We start from the raw sequence: 24872 nt of genomic DNA, 5'->3' as shown, positions 1-24872 counted from the left end.
TGTTCATTGCAGATTGATTAATACTATGCAAAGATTAGAAACAACCTAAATATCCAACAATAAGAGTTTGGATCATTTTTATTTCCTTGGTTATACTTTTCTCTCTTTCTAAAATTCCTATTAGAAATAAAGGAAGACTATTAAAATAACTCAGAAGTCTATAAAAATGACTAAACTGTGACAAGAAGAAATGGAATATGAGTTCATACAGTCTTTTGTAGTTGGGTCCAAAAAGTTAACTCTGTTAAAAAAAAATAAGAGAAAAATACTTTAAAATATCATTTTGTGAGAGATTTTGTTTTCACTGACCTCGATAGGAGTTGTCAATGAGACATAAGTTCCCCAGGAATATTTCTTAAAGCCTATTATTTACTCTTCATTTTTGATGACCGAGGCAGTTCATAACATATCTCAAGAATCACATCATTTCTGGCGATAGAGTTGTAGGAGAAGGGTCGATAAGGAGCCTGAGGAGGTGGAGAAGCCAGGTAGGGGTCCTGGGACCTGTGCCATGGAGATAGTTGAAAGATGCCCCGGAAAAGAAGATACAGAGAGGATGGGAAAGGTGTCTTCGAGGGCTAGAAGGGCTGTCACCAGGCTTCTCCTGTCTGGCTCCAGCGGGAAGTCTCCAGAACTAAGGGTGAAAATTTGTGTGGAGGCGGAGCTTGCTGAGCATGATGCTGGCTTCCTCAGCAGGGATCACCAGGGAGGGTGGGACAGCAGGAGCCCGGAGGCCTTGGGTCCCTCTCCAGGAGGCGTGGGAGTATTTTTCAGGTTTAGCCTTCCCTAGTCCCTGTGCCGTGTCAACTAGTGTCTAGACCCTCCATCCCCTTGACCACAGCAAATGGCCAGGGTGACTGATGCTGATGTGCTTGCTCCCCAGCTTCCAGGCCCAATGGGTGGCAGCCGGGTTGGGTAGAAGAAGCTACAGGAGCAGACAGCTGCTCAGAAAAACAAAGAGGTTCTAGAACATAGACAGAAGGTCTTTATCATCCAAGATCACTCAGCACAGGGAAAAGGTCGCTCAGAAAGAATTCGGTTAAAACATAAGCCAGTATGTTTTAGTAAATAGTAAAAAAAAAGAGTCGATTGGAAATTTGTCTAGGAAAAATAGGAAGCTAAAAATATGAAAATATATTCCTTTCTTCTAGTCAACAAAACATGCTATCATTGTAATTATGTGCTAATTTTTAAAGTAATAAATGAACGAAGTGTTGACTAGCCATGTCATAATCTTCTGGATAAAGTTGTAAGGTAGCATTATATAGTATCCCATACTTCACATTTGAATTTCCTGACATCATCTAAAGAGAATCTTTTTTTTAACATACAACAAGAAAATCAAGAGTAGCATCAATTTTACCAAGAGGTTCTCTAAAACTTCTTAAATCAATCTCTTCTGAGTGCATATTTTATAACTATCTTTTAAATGTCTTCTCTCCTGTTGTTCATAAGTCAAACTCTGCCATATCTTCATTTGTGAGCTGTGTCCATTTGCTTAGAACGTGGAGAGTTCTACGTCCCTTTCACTGACTTGGAATCTGACATGTTGTGTCACGCTCTCAGCGTCTCCTTGGAACTGACTCCTGTTGCCTTTGCCCTGTGTTCTTGGGTGTTTGCAACCTCAGACCATCACTGACTCACTGGCCAGGGGAGAATTTGACCTCATGGATAGAAGAATGGAGGCTACATATTTTAAGCGTTAAGTTCATTAGTGAATGTTTTAATCCTTCGATGTTTCCTTGTTCTGTCTGTAGCCTCACGATGGAAGGAGCTCAGATGCTGAACATGGGGGAATCAGGACCATTTATTTCACCTGCAGGCGGGGCAGGCATTGGAGACTCAGAGACAGACAGGGCCTCGGGTGAAGGAAACCTGTTCTGTTGATGGAAGACAAAAGCTACCTCCAGTGGGGTTCACTCTTCCTTCTACATTTGAAACCCTTGGGACCAGAAGTGTTTCAGAATTCAGAGTGGCTGTGATTTTAGAAAGGTGATAAAGTGCACACAGTGAGGATTATGCAACAAACCCAGAGAATCTGGAGTGCCCCCGAATCAAGCACATGAATTCTTCTGCAAAGAAACCTGAATATTCACATTAAGTGGAATAAATAAAGACTAAAAATAGTTCCGTGTCAGTTCAGAAGAGGATTCACCGAATGAGTGAGAATGTTCAGTGCTTAGGGTGTCGAGGTTGGGCTTCGGGGTTCGAGGCTGTGAACTGGACTGCATGTTGCATTTGAGGACCTCGAGGTTAGAGGATCCTGTGGTCTGTTCCTATTTATGCAGCTCGTGGTGGAACTTGTGTTCCAACCCAGGTCTTCTGTCTCTGACTCCGGCGCGTTCTCTGCCACACCCAGCTCTTGGGGTCGTATTGACTAAGGTGGGTCCGTAACTGTCACTGCAGTGGGCACTCAGGGGAACCCTGGAAAGCCACAGAGAAAATCCACTAGCACAACTGCACCTTGGGGAAAGCGCTTCGTGTGTTTGCTTCAGCTATTCAAGGAGTCCTGAGCTCCTGTACGATGAAAATGTTTCTTCATCTCTGACACTTCTGTGGGGCTTCGCATACAATGCTGAGTTACATCGCGAGTTATCAACAAACATTTCTGGAATGAATGATCCACTGAGTTGGGAGAGAAAAGCCAAGGGGGGATTTTAACACAGGGGGCTTTCTAACTGGGCCTAGAAACTGGTGACTCCATGCCCCTAGGAATAAAACAAAATAGGAGAGAACTGAAATACAAGGTTACACATCAACAAGAATTCCACATTTTAAAAAGAGAGAGAGAGATGAAAGATCTACAGGGGCTGTGTGTCAGACCCTGATGTCTCACCTCTCGGAAGGGCCTTCCTGGACTTCAGGCCCCAACTGTCCTAGCAATTCCAAGAAAAGGAACTGGGAAATGAGGACCATCCATCCAGGAAGCATGTTTCTGGTCCCAGGTGGTCGGTCACTAGGCGTTCCTCCTCTGCCCTTAGAAACATGCCAGGGGCCGTATTTCTCACAGAGCTCCAGGGGCTGGGGTGGCTGAGGGCAGGAGGGTGGGGCCTTCATCTGCAGCGTTTACTGGTTTCCACACTGTAAATATTCCTGCTAGGACCCGTGTCACTTAAACTGGCTGGCCAAATTCTTGCACATTTCACGCTCAGCTCTCTCCAGTCAGCCTCACACACCACTGGGAACTCTCTAAATCTTAAGGTTTTTTGTTTGTTGGTTTTGAGGCAGAGTCTTGCTCTGTCACCCAAGCTGGAGTGCAGTGGCACGATCTTGGCTCACTGCAACCTCCGCCTCCTGAATTCAAGTGATTCTCCTGCCCCAGATCCCAAGTAGTTGGGATTACAGGCGTGTGCTACCACACCCAGCTAATTTTTGTATTTTTAGTAGAGGCACGGTTTCACCATGTTGGCCAGGCTGGTCTCGAACTCCTGGCCTCAAGAGATCCCCCGATACCTCGGCCTCACAAAGTGCTGGGATTGCAGGTGTGAGCCATAGTTAAATCTCAAGTTTAAGGAGGCATTGCCCAAACAGGGGAGCCATCCCTGAAGCATACATAGTATCTGAAGTAGCATGCATATCCTTCCCATACACAGTATCTAAAATGAATATGCTGGCTGAATTTGTGTCAGCAAAGACTCCAAATTCTGGACCTCTGGTCAATACTGAAGACATGCTCATGAAGGAAATGGGTGAACAAACACCAGCGATGGCAAGGACCATGCCAATCCCACCACACGTTTCCACAGATCTTTATTTTTTAAGGCACTTACACAGCTATTAGATCATTGGACATCCTCACATCTCTATGAAAGGGACAGAGTGATTATTATAATCATTTGCAGATAAGGACATGAGACAGAAAGATTAAATGACTTGTCTAAGATCACACAACACATTAGTTCCAATTAGGCACAGATTTCAGGTTTTCTATTTCCTGATCCTTTTCCTAATTCTGCCTCCCCCTACCCCCAGCTCCCAACAGGGCTAAATAAGTCATTCTTAACAGTAGTTTCACTTGAATTTTACTCAGAAAACCTCTTTTACTTCCCAGACAGAATACTTTCTGGTTGCTCTGCAAGGAGGAGAGTGTCTGTGCTGGTGATCTAAGCTGCAGATCATGCATCTAGATTTCACAGGCCATTTCAGACCCCTCCTGCAGGCCCACGAGTGGCACCCAGCAGCTGGAACGAGGTCCTCGATCAAGGTCTCTACCGATTCCTTGTAGACTCAACTTCCGGCCCTGCGGCACAATCCAAGCCCTGCAGCAGGGAGAAGGGGGGTACATCCCTCCAACCCAGGCCAAGGACCTACCCTCTCACCCACAGAAATGCACGTCAGTCCCAGCATCATTGCAGTTGGGCCTCGGGCCAGTCCCTCACGAGTTCTGCCTGTTATCCAAGGCCTCGACCCCACAAAGCTGGGCTTCAGAGGCAGCCCAGCCTCGGTGTGTTAGGCAGAAAACTGGAAATTGCGATACTTGCCTTCAGAGTAAATCTTCGGAAGTTGCAAATTATTTTTTCACTATGAAAAAGTTAACTTGTGGCCCGGCGAGGTGGCTCACACCTGTAATCCCAGCACTTTGGGAGGCCGAGGTAGGTGGATCATTTGAGGTCAGGAGTTCAAGGTCAGCCTGGCCGACCTGGAGAAACCCATCTCTACTAAAAATACAAAAATTAGCCAGGCATGGTAGTGCTTGCCTGTAATCCCAGTTACTCGGGAGGCTGAGGCAGGAGAATCACTTAAGCCTGGGAGGCAGAGGTTGTGATGAGCCGAGATCACCACTGCACTCCAGCCTTGTCGACAGAGTGAGACTCCATCAAAAAAAAAAAAAAAAAAAAAAAGAAGGAAGGAAGGAGGAGTGAGTTTGTAAACTGAAGTCTGTGCTTGGGCAAGACCTCATATGCATTGTGCCTACCTTCTGAGTCAGCAGGTGTCTCCCAGGAGCTCTGTGGGGTACATCTGACAATTCCTGTCATGGAGCTCCTAACCCAGAGACATAGAAACACTGAGAAGAGAGATGCACAATTTGGCTTTTCCTCAAGGCTATGAGTTTAGAGAAAGAAGCAAACCAAATCCAGGAGGTCTCAGAACCCCTCATGGGAGACGTGGGCTCTGGGACTTGTGTGGCAGTAGATAAACACTGGCTCTGGGCCTGTGTCAACCAGGGTTCGAATCCTAGGTCTTTTCTCATGGTTTTGGCAGATTCTCCTCTGGCAGATAACAACAGAATCCACCCCATAAGGGGTTGTAAATGTACCATCAGGTTTTGCACATTTCATTAATTCTTAAGGCAGGCATTGATAGAAAAACAGAATGCAGACTGGCAGAATGAACGGGAGAGAGCAGCGTGAATGTTGCGACGGAGATTGAAAGTGTCTAGCAGACAGATTTGCCAAAGCACTTGTGGAAAAAGAAATCAAGTTGGAAAATCAGGTGACCTGGCTGTGGAGAGGCCCTGAAGTCTGACTGGGGAGACTTCTTGCTGTAGAAAGTCAGGAGCTAGAGAAGAGTTTTTGAAGATGGGAGTAAGCATCATGAATTAGGTTACTGCAGTCTAAAAGAGTCACTGCAGGCTTTGCAATATGCTCAGGCTTTGCAGGTGTCGTTTAAGCATTTTCAGCGTGTACGCTGATTGATCACTTCTGATGGAGGCTTGTAACTCAGTTGTCTCACCTGTGCTGTCTCATGTTAATACTTGCTAAAAATTCTGTCTCCAGTGTGGCATCTTTTCTTTATAATGGGCCCCTGCCCTACCTCCATGAAAATCTGCATACCATTTGTGTGTGAATTTTCTCTCTCAACCATCAGTTACAGCCACTGCTAATTGGGGATCAGAGACCACATTCTAGCTGTTAGGAGAGCAGGTTCATAAAAAGAAGAGAGCAGGTTCAGAAGCAAACTTCCTGGGATCACATCCTTTGTCCGTCACTTGCAAACTGAGGGCTGGGCTCGGACAAGTCAGTGGCCTCTCTCAGCGTCCATTTCCTCATTTGTAAACGGGGGTCCTGACAGTGCCTTACCTGGGTTGTTGTAAGGACTGAAGCAGGTGGCACAGGTAACCCCACAGCCCCTGGCTGTCATCACCATTGTCATCAGCACCTTCAGGGTACCTTGACCAGGCGGGGCTGGGCTTCCTAAAACTGCCTACTATTCATACTGTGGCAGAAGCCTAATTCCACCAAGGCTGAAGTCGATCATTGTGTGAAGATTAGCAAATGCTGCTCTATTAATGATTTGTAACTATAATTTTCCATACACTTAGGGCTAGTGTGTACATCTAGAGTGAACCAATGAGCTGTTTTGGAGTGGTACAGATTCATACTAAAATTCAAAGATTCATAGTAAAAGTAGTAAAAGTCTGAATCTTTCTGTACCTTATTTTTTATTGTTCAATTAAATGCCATATATTCTACGTCACCTGTTAGGAAATTTTTTCCTGGAATATTGAATGTTCTTTTTGGCAGAGAATCAATGAAATGTTTGGCATCTATGAGTAAAGGGTGCATATGATGTACACCTTAGCTTCACTGCCTTTATGTATTGTGTCTGTGATCACTATTGTCTTAGCTGGGAATTACGACGCAAACATTTTAAACATTGAAGGATTACTCAGGATATCCACTGTTGTGTGTATGCATATCGTGTGTAAAGCAACAGGCCTGAAGTTTGAGCAAATGTGCAATGTTAGATCCCTAACTGTGAAAACAGCACGCAGGTGTCCAGCCCACACCGAAAACCTTGAGCCCTGATCTGCTTCCAACCAATGGGGTGGCCAGGGGAGCTGTCTGGGGACTCTGGGTGGTGCAGGTTGACAATAACTTTCATCCACCTGTAATGATCTGGTTTGGTTATTGACAATGGCCAGAACCACTGAAGAACAGCTCCTTATCTTCTTTCTTTGGTGAATATAGAGAGACCTATGCCAAAATAAAACAGTATATGACATTTTCTTTTGATACTTGAAAATAAAAATAGTTTGTGGTTCTGTTAAGATTTCTTGATCATATTGGGCAAAATACTACATTCAGTGAAGTTATTGTGTTGTGCTTGGTTCAGGCCCATGTTACCAAGAATTCAACTGTGGAGTCCAACCTTCAAATTTCTGAGAGTGTGATTTTATTTTTTGGCTTGTCTTTTGGATATTAGAGATTTTCTGATGCCGAATGCTATAAATTCAGTCTCCAGTTGAAAATTTTTCTTCTTTGTAAATATTTGGTCATTAATGAAAAGAATCTGGAGCTTTGGGGACTTTAAATAAATTTCCCTAATTTATTCAACCTAACCATAATTCCTGAGATGCTCTAGTGAGTGCTGCTCTAGTGAGTGCTGCTCTAGTGAGTGCCGGTAATTTGGCTGTGTCTTCTCCCATCTCTCTCTCTGGCACAAAGTGTACGGTAAGTCGTCACTTAACTTCCCTGGGATCCAGACGGCAGTGTTTCCCAGAGAAAGGAAGAAGTGTCGAGTCTCAATGCCCTTTGGAACATTCTGGTTATTCATGAGTTAACTGACAGGTCCCATAAATAAATTATAGGTGCGTTTTTAGAGCACTTTGCTAAGAACAAGGATGGCAGAAAGGATCACAAGGCTGTCAAGTCACATTAAAGCTCGACTACTCGCCATCTCTGTGGGGAAAACGGACAAACTATACTTTTTGTCATGTATTAAAACCTATTTTACTGATTGGCTGCTTGGAAAAGAAATTTATCCATCACTGTTTCCTTCACTCAGAAGCAGCCTTCTCCCAACGGCTTGTTCTTCCTCTACTGTGTAGGGCTTAGTCAGGGACATATTTCACAGACATAAATATCATCCATTAGGGCCTTTAAAAGTGTAGATAATATCATTTTTAATGTGGATTCCATTATGGAGAAAGCTGCCCAGGATGGGGGTTCTGTCTCAGCGCCATCTGCTCGCCTCGGCTGGATTCTCGCTGCCGCTCCTAATGTGGATGCCCCACCCCTTGGAGCCCTAACCTTCAGGTCCCTCACTGTGGGAGCTGGGGTAGGAGTTTGGGCAATTGCACAAAGGAAGTGATTTAGGACATTACAGGCCAAGAAGAGGAGGAAAAAATCAATATCCATCACCATCAGATGGAAGCTTGTCACCGTGGCTGTGAAGCAGGCCATTTTCCCTCAGCCCCCACTTCTCATTGCTGTGGGAAATAAACTCCCTTCCTGAGCCCCATGGATGCCCCCAAATATCACAGATCCACCAGGTCTACATGAACCTCCCCCATCATCTTTTCTGCCTGTGTCTGAGGCTTTTTTCACTTGGCAAATATGATAAATATTTACCAAGCACCTACTGTCTCTCCGGCATTGTTCTCCAACCCTCACTCTATCGTTAACTAAACCAAAACTTTTATCTGAGAAACTGTATTTTTTTCAGCTACCTCATACTGCATGTGTAGTCTGACATGTGATAGGGATGAATTTTTAAAACATTAAAATAAAAAAACACAAATTTTTAATGTATCCAACGTGGTCTACAATTCATTAATTCAATCTTTCATTTATTCCACAATGTTTACAGTGTCTCCACTCTTTAAAAGCTTTTCTGCAGGAAAAAGTCTCCTTCAGACATTGATGTCAGGTCTGGGGTGGATCCAGGACCCTGGGAACTGCAGGATCATTTAGACCAGAGCGCTCAATAGGGTAGGAAGGGTCTAGGTAAGAAGTGACCATGGTCAAGAATTTAGCTCCTGGAAGCACAAATCGGGAGAGCATAAAAAGGAACCTGAAAAGAGCTGATGGGTGTCAGAGTCCTAGACAAATTGGATCTAAGAAGCTCATTCACTGCATAGCCTGCGGCTGGGGAAGAGTAATGACCTGAGGCGGAAGAAGGAGGTGCAGGGATTGGGACTCCCGATCTGGGATCCTGGGTGATGCCAAACCAAGCCTGGAGTCTGGCTAAAAGTACAGAAAATTTCCCCAAAACATGGGCAAGAGGATCAGAAACCCACAAGCACTAGCAGAGTCCTGTGATGCTCCAGGAACTCGGCACAGCCAGGCTGGCGAGGGGGCTGAGCTCGCCTTCCCTTTTCTGTCTCTTTCCTCCAGCGATGTTCTCTTCCTCTTTTCCAGCCTTGGAAAACGAGAGGGTTGGTTCCAAGAAAATGGAGATAGCAATCTGCATCAGACTTTGTTTTTGCCTCTGACCTTGGCCTTTCTCCAAAGATAAGGAAGAGAAGTTTCCCAAGAGCAATTCTCACCAAACAACTGGCCAAGCTGGAGATAATCCTGTCTGGTAACTTCCAGTTCTGAGCCCCTTCCCTTTGCCACAGATGCGGAGACGTGAAAACACCCATGTCTGAAAGGGTGGATTTGAAGTCTGGGAGACCCCTGTTTATATTTTTGGGACCTGGGAAGATGTTGTTCCCACTGGGGCTCTTTTTATGGTCAACCAAAAGGAAAACCTTCACAAGCCTCAGCATGTGGCTGGATTAAAATGCTTCTCCACCGGAACCCGGTCAGGTCTTCCTGAGTGGCATAGCTTACTGGTGCTTCCTGCCACAATCAAGAATTAAGGTCACCATGAACTGTCCATATTCACCAAACTAGATCAGGGGTTAAAGATCCATTACTCAGGAAATCTCTCTCTTTCTGAAGAATCTTAAGGCCATTGCTTCTCTTCCAGAAGGTGGTACCCAGTGTCAGTTTAGGTTCTATTCTGCAAGCCACAGGAATGACTTCTAACTTATTAAAAAATTGAGAAAATCAGAAAAACCAGTGCTCGGGAAAGGGAGGGATTAGGGCAGCTCTAGGAATCTCTGCAGGGGGTCCTGTGGACTTCCCATTAGGTGCCACCATCAGATGTGTTGGCACTGACTGTCTTCTGTTTATTTGCACTCAATGTACAAGTCCCATGAGAGAATTCCACTTCTTCATTTCCTCTGGTGCTCACCCAGTGGGCCTGCCACCTGATTGGGGAGATAAGATGCTATGATCAACCCAGTGAGTTTCACATGCCTGCCCTGTGGCCAAGAGATAGGACTTGCTACCTGAATAGGGTCGGGAGGGGTTGCTAGGAAGACTAAAGACACAGCCATGGTATGGTCCACGGCTTGGCCACCTAGCACATACCACACTCTCTTCTTCGTGTTGATGTCCACGTCACCCCCACCTCCACCCGCAACGTAATGGAGTTCTGCTGCTACAACTGCAACCATGTGCTCACTTTCTCACCCATGGGAGGAAAACCCAAGGTTATATACAACCCTCTCACCCACAGTTGGTGCCATGGAGTCACAGCTCTCCAGGTGGACGATCTCGGCTGATGTGCATCCCATCGTGATCCTAGCAGGATCCTGCCTGTGGAATACATGGCATGTTTTGCCAACATCAATGCATTATATATATGTGTGTGTGTGTATATATATATATATACACACACACACGACGTATATATATATTTATATAAAATTATGTATATATATGTTTTTTTTTGAGACAGAGTCTTACTCTGTCGCCCAAGCTAGAGTGCAGTGGCACCATCTTTGTTCACTGCAGCCTCCGTCTCCCAGATTCAAGCAATTCTCTTGCCTCAGTCTCCTGAGTAGCTGGGATTACAGGCGTGCACCACCATGCCCAGCTAATTTTTGTATTTTCAGTAGAGACGGGGTTTCACTATATTGGTCAGGCTGGTCTTGAACGCCTGACCTCAAATGATCTCCCTGCCTTGGCCTCCCAAAGTGCTGGGATTACAGGTGTGAGCCACTGCACCCAGCCCAATGCACAATATATTTAAAAATGGTAAGCAGAAAGAAGAAAAGAAGTACTTTTTAAATTATATGAAACAGCCAGGAAGGTAAAGCAAAATCAGGAAGCCTAGTGATGACAGCTGGCTTAGGCTACAGCCAGTATCACGTGCTTTCGTCCTTGTCCTTGGCTCTGTCTCTTTCCTCCTCCTGTGGACTGGGCCATTTTGCTTGCCAGGGGTGGCAGCATTTATTCCTACAGGGGCTGGGTCTTGGCCGTTCTTCCTCAAGAGGGCTGTGGTGCTTTTCCACTGCTGTGATCACTGAACACGATACTCTAAGGAGAGGCCTGCAAGAGTCGCCATATTTCACCATATACTTCCCATCGATTTTGATTCAGAAGTTGTATGTCGCTTTGTTTGGTCAGGAATGAAATCACCCGGGTTAACCTTGCACCACATGACTCGTCTGGTGGCAGACCGAGGTCCCAATTCAGTGGGGAGAAAGAGTCGCATACCCTGGAAGATAATCTCTCTGTTGAACACCAAGCTGTCTGGTAATGAGAGCTCATAATTCCAGGGCCGGGGGCACAATCCTGGAAGTTTTTTCAGTACATAGCCATGAGACAACCATCGCCTCTTCCACCAACGTGACTTGTGACCAAAACAAGGCTAGAGGGGAGTAAAACCAGAACACAGGGGAGTCTTTCACTGGGGTGGCAGCCCCTCTGTTTAGTGACCTTCTGTTCCCTTTAATGGTAACCTTCAGGAAAGGAGGAATTTGATGCCAACTTCTCACCACTTGGAGGAGAAAATGGTTACCAATATGTTCCATCTCACTCAGAGCGTTTCCTCTTTAAAGCCTTCTTCAATTATGGAAGACAAAACAAAACAAAACAAAAGTACCTCTTTCTAGCTAAAGAAATTTCAAATACCATTGATCTGGCAGGAGAAGAATTTAGAGGTGGGGGTGAAGCTGGATTGTATAGGCTGCCACTGTTTTGCCTCTGTCTGACTCTGGCTGGGCCTTCTCAGCTCTGTCTGTGTTGCTGTTTTTGCTGTTGTATTATGTTAAACTGAGATCCAGGCTGCATTGTGATTAGACAATGTAGGAGCAGTGAGTGAGGTATATGTCTGAAGAGGTGAGTGGGGAAAGTATGTTTCATCCTTCCTCAAACAGTGTAGGGGACTTCTAACAAAAGAGCCCTGCTCCTGAATGTTGTCCTGCCGGTCATCACAGAAATCACAGATGTCTATGGCCATGACGATGACCATCTTTATACTCTCAGCCCAAGCCTGCATTCAAACTATTGCCTTGCACTTAGGAAGTAAATGCAGGCTGGGCGCAGTGGCTCACGCCTGTAATCTTAGCACTTTGGGAGGCCAAGTTGGGCAGATCACTTGAGGTCAGGAGTTCGAAACCAGCCTGGCCACAGAGACGAAACCCCGTCTCTACTAAAAATACAAACAAATTAGCTGGGCGTGGTGGCAGGCATTTGTAATACCAATTACTCAAGAGGCTGAGGCAGGAGAATTGCTTGAACCCAGGAGGCGGAGGTTAAAGTGAGCTGAGATCACACCACTGCACTCCAGCCTGGGCCACAGAGCCAGCCTCTGTCTCAAAATAAATAAATAAGATGCAGAGTAAAAAAAAAAAAAATCAATACTCTATATAAGGCACATTAAAATGGAGCATTGGAGGGATGAAGACTCTTCTGTTAAGGAAAAAAGTAAATTTGGAACTGAATTATTGGGACTGAACAGCTGGAATGGTCTGATCCGCCAGACAATGTCCTCCCAGATAACTCTTCTCTCTGCTCGGACAGAACTGAGTGGGCCCTCAGTACCACAGAGGACCAGGCCAGAAGGCACCTGTCGTGTTCAGGTTCCACGTGGTAGAAAGAAGCTGTCATTAACGACCTTTGGAAGTCTGTTTAAGTGGAGCTTCATTGTCCTCTGAGCTAGGACCCGAACCAAACTGGTTCCCTACTTGCTTTGATTCCCATAAGTAATTTGAGCCCTTTCTCAGAGCCCAGGAAACCACTTTTCCACTGCCTCCTTATTCCTGCTAGGATTTCTGTGGCTTTTTATTAGTTTTAATTTGTGCAGTATTCTGAAACTTTGAAGCAATTTGAAACACATTCTAGATCTGCTGGAATTGACAGAGTAGGAAAATATGAAATCAGGGATCCCCATAGGAGAAAGGGCTGGGAAGGCCAGGTGTGGTGGCTCACGCCTATAATTCCAGCATTTTGGGAGGCCGTGGGGGGCGGATTACCTGAGGTCGGGAGTTCGAGACCAGCCTGACCAACATGGGGAAACCCTGTCTCTACTAAAAATACAAAATTAGCCAGGGGTGGTGGCACATGCCTGTAATCCCAGCTACTCAGGAGGCTGAGGCAGGAGAATCACTTGAACCTGGGAAGTGGAGGTTGTGGTGAACTGAGATCGCGCCATTGCACTCCAGCCTGGGCAACAAGAGCAAAACTCCATCTCAAAAAAAAAAAAAAAAAAAAAGAAAGAAAGAAAAAGAAAAGAAAAGAAAGGGCTTGGGAACCAAGGCAGAGGCTATTAGGGGATCTTCCTGACAGGACGGCAGACTCTGCTTAGAAATGCAGGGAGAGACGAATGGCGAGCAGAGAGGGTAATGAGAACTGACAGGCTAGGCAGTGAACATACATGACACATTCTAACAGGAGAACCACTCAGGGTTGAATTCCACATGGACTGGGAACTATTTACAAAAACATTAAGCTGCATTGGTGAAAAGGACTTCTGAGGTCAAGTCGCATTAGGGAAATAAGAGCTTATTCAGCGTTGACTCAGGGGCCTTACCTTTCAGGTGTGCATGTGCCAGGGTGGATCTGTGTGGTTGGCCATCGGGAAAAGATGTAGTGCTCTTTGTTTAATGCCAGACTGAAGGCAGACTGGGGTCTGGGGGTGCAATAATGGTTAGAAGCACAGTGCTCAGGTGATGGAGGGCTCAGGCACTGAGATGGAGGGGTGATGGTGAGCGGCCCTGTGCTCAGACGTACAGGGTCATCATATACAGGTTGGGCATGGTCAGTCTGTCTTGGGCTGACTTAAACTTTGGTAGCCCTGATTTCACTCTTAACTAACTTTGGAGTTATCCTGCCCTATCAGGCTCCCTGTAGTTCTACTGCTTCTTCAGGTACACAGATCTCTATAGATGGAGTGTTTGAAAAAATTACCATGGGTTCTATTCACAAAATCCCATAGCTTTGAGATGGATAGGGGATGAATGTGGGTTTGAGTCAGGAAAGCTTATAGGATGCAGTAAAGGCTGAGATGAATTTGACTATGTGACCGCAGGTCAGCAGTGGATTCAAGAGCCTTTGACTCAATGGGATCTTTACATAAGGTATAAGGATTTCCACAGAAAAGACCTGGGTCTGCTCCTGAAGCCCCTCCCTCCTTGGGGGACAGGTCTCTCCTGAGCAGCCCAGCCTTCCTGGCCTCCCCCTTCCTAGGAGTGAGAGCAATGGGCTCTGCAGGCCTCTGGAAATTGCCTTGTGTGTCCATGGGCAAGATGGCTCGATGGGCCCGGGCCTTGACTGAGGCAGGGAGGATTTCTCACCAGTCTCCAGCTGTCATCCACCCCGAGCAGACATATCGTGAGCAAACCCAGACCCTGCAACAGGGCGGGCATCGTACCGGGGTGAGAGATGCTGCTCCTTGCCTATGTTTTGCTTCTCGCTTTGGGAGCTTGGCCTCATCGGCTTTGCAGCAAAGAGGCTCCCGTTTTCATCTCTTCTCCATGGAGCAAAGACATGATGGTGCCACGGCAAGGACATTGACGCCTCCCGGGGTCCTGCTTCTCTCTCTCCAAATGCTCCCTTCGGGGCATCTTCCTGCCTGTTATTCCAAACCCACAAAGGTCAAGAGCTCAGAGAGACGTCTCTATGTGCCCGGCCTCTAAGCACCAGACAGCGGAAGGGAAGCTTCCCACAGCCAATCTCGCTGTCCAAGACGCCAAGTAGAGCTTTACATCCTGGGGATCAATGGAGGGCAAGTTAGGCGACGCTTTACTCAGCGGCCTGGAGACCTGCATCGGAATCTCCCTTTGATCTTTCGGGGAGAACTGGTGTCATGCTCTTCCCTTCCTGAGAATTGAACAAAGGCATTTGAGCACGGTATGTTTCACAGGGGAAAACAAAGACACGATTACAGACTGAAATAATCTCGGTAAACAATTATTTCATAGAATTATGAATATACAAAGATTTCCAACTCCCCTCTCCTAAGACTATTAAAGTGCTGGAATTTTGAATAGTAAAACAGACAATGGGAGATATTCAGAAGTTCAAATAAATAAAAACAATCATTTTCCTTTGCAGCGGCAAATAGTTCAGTAAATACATGGGAACGGTGAGACACTCCCGTGAAAAACATTAATTAAGTAAATTCTATGGGGCTGGGGGTGGGGAAAGCGGACTCAGAGGAGGAAACCTGGGCATCGGGGACACCTGACTCTTCTTTAAAGGCAATCCACTGCGCAGGCGGGACCAACAGGACCACGCCAGCCACAGCACCACTTTCATCTTAGAAGGTCCTGGGTTCCGCAGACCTCAGAGATCCAATGGCACCGAAACTCAGAAGATGGCAGAACATTCTAGATGGGAGGGGTCTGTCAAGGGGGATAATCTTGTGTCATAAGCACTCGACTGTGGCTGGGGTTGGTCAGGGCCGTGCCAGGTGCAGAAGAGCCTGTGGGGGTTGGGGGACTGCCTCAGATTTCTGTAGAACACGATCAGAATACATCCCCCTAACTTTTCTTATGTACAAAGCACTGTGCCCATGGAGGACAAACAATAATTCCTGGTTTTTTCAATTTAAGATGACATCTGCCTCTTCTTTCTTCTCATTTTTGATGTTTGTCTTTTCTTTTTTTATTAGCCCTGCCAAAGTGACCCTTCCCATCAAAAGCCAGATCCTGGGCTTCCGTCCTCTAGAAACCCCTTCCTCAGGCTGGAACCTGACTTGCTGTTTGGAGATAAGTTGCTGATGACTAACTAATGGCCATACATTTTTCCCTTGCACATAGCACCATCTCATTCACGGGAGCATGCTGAGGGTCAGTAAGGAGAGGACTGGGCTGGAGCCTGCAGCCCCTGCAGGTGTGGGAACTCCCCCAGTCACCTCCTCACAGATGTGGGCCTGGCAGATGTGGCTCAGACATCTATGGTAGCCTCATATGCTGTTTTACTTGTTTGTACTTTGACTCTTTTAAGCGACATTTTAGACAATTAGAAGCTACCTGTCACGAAATGCTCATTGCAGTAATCTGCCAGCCAGTGGATTTTGTTTTGGAGCCAATGAGATGATGGAGAACCTTGGGGCCATCTCTCTCCTGGAGCGGAGCCAACATTCCATAAATTCATCAGCATTTTGACCCAGTGAGTTTTTACTCCCATGATGGTAATGCTTCCCTCTCACTCTTTCCACTTTCTGGTTGATAAGGCCCTAAAAGTTCTTATTGGAATCTGCAGCTGAAGATTCCAACAAGATTTAAGCCTTGGCGCATCTGAGCTTGGGAAAAGCAGGCATCCCGGTTGTTTGGGACACACTGGGAGCCTGGAGTCTGGCATCTCATGTGTGCTCAGTGGGCCTGCACTATCTGGAGCCCAAATTACAGTCAGAGACCAGGTGAGGCTCCTTGGGGGATTCCGAGACTCCCTTTGGTCTCTCCAGAGGTGAGGCTGGGTCTGCTGAGTAGAGGTATGGGACGAATTATTAACAAATGTTTGTTGACGACCTGAGTGACAAGCTCTCTTCATCATCCTGCAGCAGGCAGTGGTGTGCAGAGCCACCTTGGACTGGCTCCTGACACCCAGTGGGGAAATACTTTCAGGAACGTTTACACCACAGGAATCAGCACGTGCTACAAACCAGGGGGCTTTCTCCCGTCGAGAGCTCTCTCCAGCACAGCACTGCGACTCTCAGTGATAGAGTCAGGGTGGAGTTCAGAGCTCAGGTCAAATGAAGCCGGCCCCTCCGGACTCTAACGAGGGGGTCGTTGGGATGCTCCAAAGGGCGTGGTCTGATCTATGCAACATCCGTGTAAAAACAAGTTGTGTAATAACAGGCCTCCAGCTTATTTCTTAAATCTCAGCATCTCTTTAAGCCAGCTTCCTGAAGGTGTTCACTTCAGGATAAAAGGTGAGGGAAAAAAGTGCAGCCTTTCATCTTTTGCCTGTCAGATGTCCTACATTCCCTCTGTGAATTAATATGTCCATGTTTGTTTTTGCTCTTTGGCCTTAAATGTATAACAAACATTTTCTAGAGACAAACCAATAGGAAAGGATTTAGAATACTGTTTGTTTTAGAACACAGGTAGCACTCAAGGACAAATAGACGTAGTGTTCCCATATATTCTTGGGAAATTCTTAGGGTTACTTAACATCCTCTAGTTAGATCCAGTTAATTAAAGCCAAATCATTCTGAACCTTCTCCCTAAATTATCTGGATATTTCAAATAGACACAGTATTTGGATCTAAGCTATGTGGTATAATTCACTGGCCCACATTATTTTTCTTGTGAAGAATTAGTAAATGAGCCACATGTGAATCTTTTGTGCTTTACTAGTCCTTCTGTGTAATACTCCGGACTAACTTCCCACAAGACAAAAGCTTTCTGAGTCCATCTTGGTCCCCAGAGACTTGCTGTCTTGTTTTTGATTCTCCTTGTAACAATTTGGGGTTGGTTAAAGGAAAACCCACTATTTTTGATTTCTGACTCCCCAGCTCACCAGCATATCAAAATAGGCCCGCACAGATAAATGTCACCATGGGGCCAGTTGCTGGCACCAGAACAGAGCCACTCAGCCATCAAGAGTCAGACCCGAGCCCCTGCTCCCCCTGCTCAGCTAGCTGGGAAACTGCAGGACACCAACCCTGCGCTGCCCCCTGACCCAAATGGCCACGCTCCCCACTGCCCTGCTCTTCTCCAACAAGCTATGTGGAGAGGGGTGGCTGCACTCTACCTTATCTTTAAGGAAAGCTTTTGATGCTTTCTCCTTAGGAAGATTAATACATGAGGCCACAGAGTACATGAGGCCATTCAGCACAAGTCCTGAAGTGAAATCAAAACGAGGTCTTTGTGGGCTGCAGTGATCTGAGGCAGAGCAAGGGTTTCCCCCAGGCCAGAGAGATGGTCCTCAGGGCGGGTGCTGCTCCCTTGACACTGCAATGACCTGGAGAGTGGCACTCCTGGGCAAGCAATGGAACCTGCTGTCAACACTCAGGTACAAAGGACAAGAGTCATCGAAATGGGGGGGACTCATTCACCTACAAGCAAGCTCTAATACACAGCTTCAGAGAAGAAGAAATCCAAGGACACACCCGCAGTTCTCTGTGATCCTCTTTCCCCAACAAAGGAGAGTAAAGTACAGGAACAGCAGCCCTGGCCCCTGGAGAAGAGCCTAGGGCAGAAACTACAGATTCATGCGGATCAGCTGCAGAAAAGGAAAGGGTTGGGGATGTGTCATCCACAGCCAGGAGTCACCTGAACTACAGCTTGGATGTGGAGACCTGGGTGGAATCACATTGCTGTGGCCCGGGACAATTTATTGGCCATACGACATCACTCAGTTTGATAAGTCACTTGGCATTCTTTATAGGATTCAGTATGCCATCCTCATGCTGCCAAAATAGATTAAGACAGAATCTCAAATGACATCAATTCGCTGCTATCCCCCAAGAGGTAGCAGGAAGGACGAGGAGAGCGACAGCTGCCTGATAGCTCACTGCAGCAAAGTGGGAGCGAGACACAGATGCGCCCTGAGAAAGAAATGTGTTGAATTTGTCCATGCCAAATGAGGGCTCAAGGTGAAGATTTAGGGACCTCCTTCATGAAATGGGAGGAGCACTCACCTGATGTTATTAGGAGCCAACATTTTATAAAGGACCTAGTATCTTTTATCGGTGCCATAGATAGAAATTAAAGTTCTGTTACATTTCTTCGTCTGGTCTTTTTGGCTCTGCACTTTCTGAAATAGTGGTTCTTGAATTTAGCTTGCAACAAATTACCTGAAGAGCTTGTTAAAAGTATAGATACTCAGGACACATCATCAAAGAAGCTGACTCCATAGGTCTGGGTGGCGCAGAACTCTTCACCGTTGTGGGGCTCTCAGTGAGTTTGGAGACCACCCTTTGAGAAACCCAGCTCAAACACAGGGATCTGAATGGGATGCTGCAGGGAGATGATGCCACAGGGAGATGCCACAGGGCAGGCTCCCCAGGAACCAGCTCTGGAAGGGAGCCTGGTGCCTAGGAGAGGGTCCACACCTGCAGGTGAGGCAGAGGGAGAAGGTGAGTGGCCTCATGGGCCCCCAGGGAAACTAAAGCTGGAGGGCCCTTCCGAGGTGTCCAGAGCCGTGGAGCAAGGGCTGGGTGGTATGAAGACCCCACACGGACTGATCTAGGATGTAGGCAGCTCCTGGAACTGTGGCCTTGAGTGAGGCAGTTTTGTTCTTCACCTGAGACAATTCCCAGAGTTGACTGTGAGGACTCAAGGAGCAGGGACTCCCATGGCTGGGGACACAGCCCTTCACCCCGGGGCAGGGGTATCGTGGCGGTACTCTCAGTGCAGCTGCATGTGCAGGCCCTGCCTCTGCCGGGTGTTCTCCCCACTGAGCCTGTCTGCCCTCCCCTCTGTCTCACTCTCCCTCCTCCCTTCCTTCCTTCTCTTCAGCTTCTTTCTCTCTTTTCTCCCTAGTCTTCTAGACTCACATTTTCTTAATTTAAAATTAACCCCTCACCTTTTGTTCACAGTTCCTCTTTGTACCATCTTCTTCTCTTAACGGCTGCAAATAAACATCCTTATCTCTCCTAAGGCCTATGGTTTCCTCGAGCTATGAGTGATGTGTAAATTCCTTATCACTGATCATACAATGCCAGAGTGCGATCATTTATTTATTTGTCTCCAGTAGGGTCCTGTTTTCTCCAGTAAAGGACGTATGCTCATTAAAATCCGGACTTAAATTCTATATTAGGAAATCTAAAGCCTGCTCCCTTTAAGAATAAGCCAAGAATATCCGCTCCCCTGAACTGGCGCAGGACTTGGGCTGACCCGGGCAAGGCCCACCCCTGTGGAACAGGTGAACTGAAGACACCTGGGGGCAGCTTCCTTTGGCTCCTTGTGGTCCCGGGAGATCGCATTGGCACCTGTGTTAAACACAGGTGAGTCACCTTATGGTAAGTCCAGCTTGAGTCATTGACAGAAATAATCAAACAAAGCATATGTGGATCTCATTAAACAGAGGGGAGCCCTGATGGGCACTTTCGGGGAGGCTGAGAATGCGTGAATCACAGGCATGCCAAGGAAGAAAATGCAGACTCAAAGCAGAATAAAGGCAGTGACTTGTGCTGGGAAAGAGTCCCTCCCGTTCTGACTTTTCTTAGGGCATACGCCTGAGGCACCCCCCAGTGTCCTCCACCGTCGCTTTATTCTGTTCCGGTGTTGGGTCAACACAGCGTTGGAGCCCTTACTGTGATGTAGGCACTGTTCCAGGGGCTGGAAATCCAGAGGCTTCGGCACAGAGAGACTGCACCTGGGCCCAGGGATGAAGGTGGAGATGGCCTCACATGTGACCCTGCGGCTTGTGCAGAGCTCCCGCGGCAGGACTACTGGAGGAACACATGGAGAGAGGTCTCAGGGCCCAAGCCATCACAGCTGCTTCTACTTTTTATAGTTTTCCCTAAACTGAGAGCATCCTAGGGATGAAGATAGAGTGGTTCTCACTGATATGTTTATTCTACAGATGGGGAAACACAGGCACTGGAGCTTAAGGGACTTCCTCATCACACAATTCTTTCCCACTAGGGCTGAGACAGATGTCATCATGGGTGGAACGGTGTCCCCCACAACTCTCTGCTACCTTCCTACTTAGAGATTGGAAATTCAACCTCCAGGAGTTGTTGGTGAGACAGGTCATTCCTGGGACCACAGTAGGCTTAGGTCAAAGTCAAGTTCCCACAGGAGACAGCTTGTAAGTAACTTAACTCATACAACCCTGACGGCACTTGGCATTTGCAAACTTGTATTGTTATTATTATTATTTCTTCTTTACAAAGGTGTCCTGTATCCTAAGCTATGTCCTAAGTCCAAGGGGGGAGATGCTTCACGTTTCGACTCCTATCAAGGTTAGCACCTCCTAAGGAGTGGGTGTCCAGTGCCGATGCCCAGGCGTAACTACTGAGAGCTGAGTTGACTTGTTTCAAATCCATTTGCACAGGACATGCCCAATGTTGTTAATGATTGTAGCACAGGGAGCGTGGTCAGAGATCACTGGCGCACAGCTGGAAGCAGAGCTCAGTGATACCAGGAGGAGGCCGTAAGCCAGAGAAGGCAGGTGGCCTTGAGAAGCTGGGAGGGGCAAGGAGAATTCTGCCCCGGAACCCCCAGGAACCAGTCCTGCAGCCCATATTAGACCTCCGGCCTCCAGAACTGTAGGATAAGAGATTTGTGTGGTCTTAAGCCACGAAACGTAATTCGTTACAGCAGCTGCGGGAAGCGAATATGCCATACGTTTTAACAGAGCACGAATCATATGAAGAACACGTTTTATTTTACAATGCAGTGATCCCAGTGTTTCTGTGGTTTCTTGTAAATCACGCATCCTTCCCTGGCTGGGAAAATGGGTAGATGCTTGGATGTGGGGCCATCATTGGAAAGTGTAGGTGGATTTTATTTTTAGTTCGGGGTGGTCATGTTGCCTACAGAACCATTTAGAGGAGAAAGAAAGAGAAGCTAAGAAAAAAATGAGAATAGGAGGAAAGGAGCAGGAGAAAGAAAGAGGAAGTGAAGAGAGTCGGGGAGAGAACCTGAAAATGAAGGGCCTTGGTATGAAACAAGTGGGAGGAAAGCTTCCTTGTCCTCTGAGCGTTTGCTGATGCAGGCCACAGTTCCCCGCACTGGCTGAGGCCACACCGTGTCGTGATGGCGAGTGTGGCCTTTGGAGCATGACCAGACCTCACCTCTGAGCGTTTGCTGATGCAGGCCACGTTCCCCGCACTGGCCGAGGCCACACCGTGTCGTGATGGTGAGTGTGGCCTTTGGAGCATGACCAAAACCTCAGACCAACACTGGACTCAGTTTCCTCCTCTATAAAATGGATCTAGTGACAGTGTACATCTTGTAGGCTTGCTGTGAGTATGAACAGCACTTAGTGGTGTGACTGGCACATAGTGAGTCAGTGGAAAACGTTGGTTATTACTTATTTAAAACAAACAAACAAACAAACAAACAAACAAAAAACCATGAGCTGTGATGACATTTGACCGTGCTGAGAGATTTTTGCAAAGAAGATCCTTTTGGAAGGTGGACTCACTCCAGCACCAAGGAGTATAGACCATCAGATATAAGGAGACACGGCGCACATTCCACCCTGGAAAGGGGCTATTCTCTTGTCACACACTTTGAATAGGTTTCAGATGAAAAAATCAAACAGCAAAGAAGGAGTGGAATGGGCATGCATTTGTGGGAGTGTGTGTGAGGGTGCGTGCTTGACTTACTGTGGTTTCCAAAACGCCTTGTAGCAGAAACTTTACCCGTCCAATAGACAGCTTCGGCTTTGATTTTGGTCAAACTCAGCACACTGCAAACATCTACTTCTGATGTATTACTCTTTCGCTCTTTCCAATCCTCCGTTCATGTTGGCTGCAAGATAACACAAAAGGTTAAGTTTACAGTGATCCACAGTCCTAAAGTACTGTGCCAAAGTAACAAGATTAATACCTTTTTGACAGAGTTTAATAATATGGTTTTATAATATTTAATTTTGTTCAGCAAATATCTCTCAGTAGGAAGCCTTTTTTCCTTTACTTACCTAACATTATTGCTTTAAAACAATTTAATTCCTATTTCCTGGCACAAAGAACTTATTATGCAGACATGTTGTGATCTGATTCTTATAGGCCTTTGAGAGCTGGATTAACTTCAAGTTAATTTGGACATCCAAACAATTTTGACAGGCAGAGCTGTCAGCCTACTGCAAATGAGGGTTGTTAGATCTGGGTGTATCTTATTTTACGGATAACTGACAGAGAGAAACGTTGTGTTTTGCTTCAAACAACAGGGGTTCTTTCCAGTTGGGTTTTCCTGGTGTTGGAGGTGGGCATTGTTAGCCCTGTTTCCTTGTCTCCCCTGTCAGTTTCTGAATACAGCTCACACCTAACTGCCCCAATTACCTCTCTAACCCCCCAAACAGTGATTTACCATCCATTAGGAAATTCCTAGTGGAGTCTTCTTGCTAATATCCTAGTGATAAAACCAATAAAAATAAATTGGTTCTGTGGAATACACTCTGATGAGGCTACAGTTAACTTGCCCCAAAAGGCATTGTCAGCAGTTGCAAACAGCCTCTCGTAAGTGTGTAAAATGACTTTTTTGAATGATCTACACGGTGTCCTCAGAACCATTATACTTAAGGGAAAAAACGGACCCTGGACCCGTGGCTGCCTGGCGTCCTCACTCCCGCCCTGGCTCTGACCCCCACAGTGGCACTCTGTGGCTCCCTGGGGCATGGCAGGAAACGGAACCATTCCACTTAAGGGAAAAAACAGACTCTGAACCCGTGGCTGCCTTGAGTCCTCATTCCCGCCCTGGCTCTGACCCCCACAGTGGCACTCTGTGGCTCCCCGGGGCATGGCAGGAAATAGATGCCTTACGCAGCTGGCAGGAGGGGCAGCCCTGGAGACCGACAGGGAGGTGCCTGAGACCCGGCCACGGCTCTGCACTAGTAACGCTGAACCTGGTAATCAGATGGGACCTGGCTCTGCCTGTCTCTCCCTGCTCATCTTTGCTCCCCAAATCCTTTTCAACATGTAGCCCCATTGCAAAGGCCCAGCTGCGGTCATTTCAGAGGAAAACTCCAGTGAAGATATCAGGGTTAGGGAAAGAAGATCAGAAAGACGCCAACAGGATTTCTGAGTGACAAGACTCTAAGGTTTAACTGCACTTCTAAAAAGGGTGTAGGAGGGCACAGTGACCATATATCACTTTTAAATGTGTATAATAGCAGCTTATGCTGAACTCTTCCTATGAGGTACTGGCACTGTGCAGGAGGTTTCATACACATCACCTCTGTCTCCCTCAAAAAACACTATGGTTTACATTCTATTATTATCCACATTTAACCGAAGGGGCAATTTAAAAAGATCACACGAGTAGTCAGCGAGAGGACTAGTTTTTACGTGAGATACATTTATTCCAAGAAGAATAAGTATGGAAAAGAAATGAGTAAACACATCTAGCAGTCTCTGCATGTGAGCTCCAGCCTCTGGAGGAGATCGCTGGGTCACCATGGAGGGGATGCTGCCTGTCCCACCCAGACCCTCCAAGCAAGACACTCATCTCCAGCCTGCGGGGTCCTAGGGTTCCCCTTCTCCAGGAATTGTCCCCCAATGAAGGAGCTGCCTTGCCAGGGTTAGGGCCTCTTCCCGGGGGCACCCACATTCACTGACGTACTGCTACAGGGATTCAAGGCCCTGTCCCACCCGGATTTGGGATAACTCCGTAGCAGGTCAACTTCTCTCTCGGCCCAGTTCTGCTTCTCTTACCTTTTTAAAGGTGCTATTCCCAAGAGCTCTCCACACACCCCTGCACACTCATCTCCATCTCAGAGTCTGTTTCCTGGGGAATCTGACTGAACAATTCATGGGCGGGGCAGTCGTAGGTCACAGACTCTAAACTGGGATTTTGGTATTGGATCTCCTGCTGGCCAGCTGGAAGTGAGAATGCACCATTGGTGGTGGATGAGGTGCTGATGGCCCTGACATGCAGGGGGGCATTGCTAAAACTGCACCAGGGTGAACTGGGGTGAAGCACCATGGAAGAGAACCATAAGTGCCACATCTCAGGCGTGTGAGAGGTGCTGGGGCAGGAGTAATGGTAAGGGGCATGGAACTGGATGACTTCTGCTGGGAGTCACAGAGGTGTCAGAGGCAGCCAATGAAAGCCTGGAGGTGCAGTGTGAGTGCTGCAAGGCCTCCTGGGAAGCACACAGAGTGATAGGGTCTGGCTGTGTCCCCACACAAATCTCACCTTGAATTGTAGCTCCCATAATTCCCACGTGACACGTGGGACCTGGTGGGAGGTAATTTAATCACAGGGTGGGTCTTTCCCATGCTGTTCTTGTGATAGTGAATACGTTTCA

At 46.9% G+C, this 24872-nt stretch overlaps 2 long non-coding RNA genes across 3 annotated transcripts; both read right to left on the bottom strand.

Annotated features, from left to right (window-relative positions):
• Positions 1-9657: 9657 nt before the first annotated feature.
• Positions 9658-14590, bottom strand: LOC124901790 (uncharacterized). 2 transcript variants are annotated; one of them, XR_007060616.1, is made up of 3 exons: positions 14371-14590; positions 10225-10310; positions 9658-9919 (listed from the first exon to the last, which is right to left on the bottom strand). It is a non-coding gene; the product is annotated as an uncharacterized LOC124901790 (long non-coding RNA). The 2 variants fall into 2 exon arrangements; XR_007060615.1 differs by lacking the exon at positions 14371-14590 and adding an exon at positions 13531-13618.
• A 148-nt stretch (positions 14591-14738) lies between these two features.
• Positions 14739-24339, bottom strand: LOC105375601 (uncharacterized). Its single transcript, XR_001745444.2, has 3 exons — positions 24277-24339; positions 22231-22375; positions 14739-14819 (listed from the first exon to the last, which is right to left on the bottom strand). It is a non-coding gene; the product is annotated as an uncharacterized LOC105375601 (long non-coding RNA).
• Between the last annotated feature and the right edge of the window lie 533 nt (positions 24340-24872).

This window comes from Homo sapiens, chromosome 7, assembly GCF_000001405.40.
Source record: "Homo sapiens chromosome 7, GRCh38.p14 Primary Assembly".
Classification (NCBI taxonomy): domain Eukaryota; kingdom Metazoa; phylum Chordata; class Mammalia; order Primates; family Hominidae; genus Homo; species Homo sapiens.
This window is presented reverse-complemented; position numbering and strand designations above follow the sequence as displayed.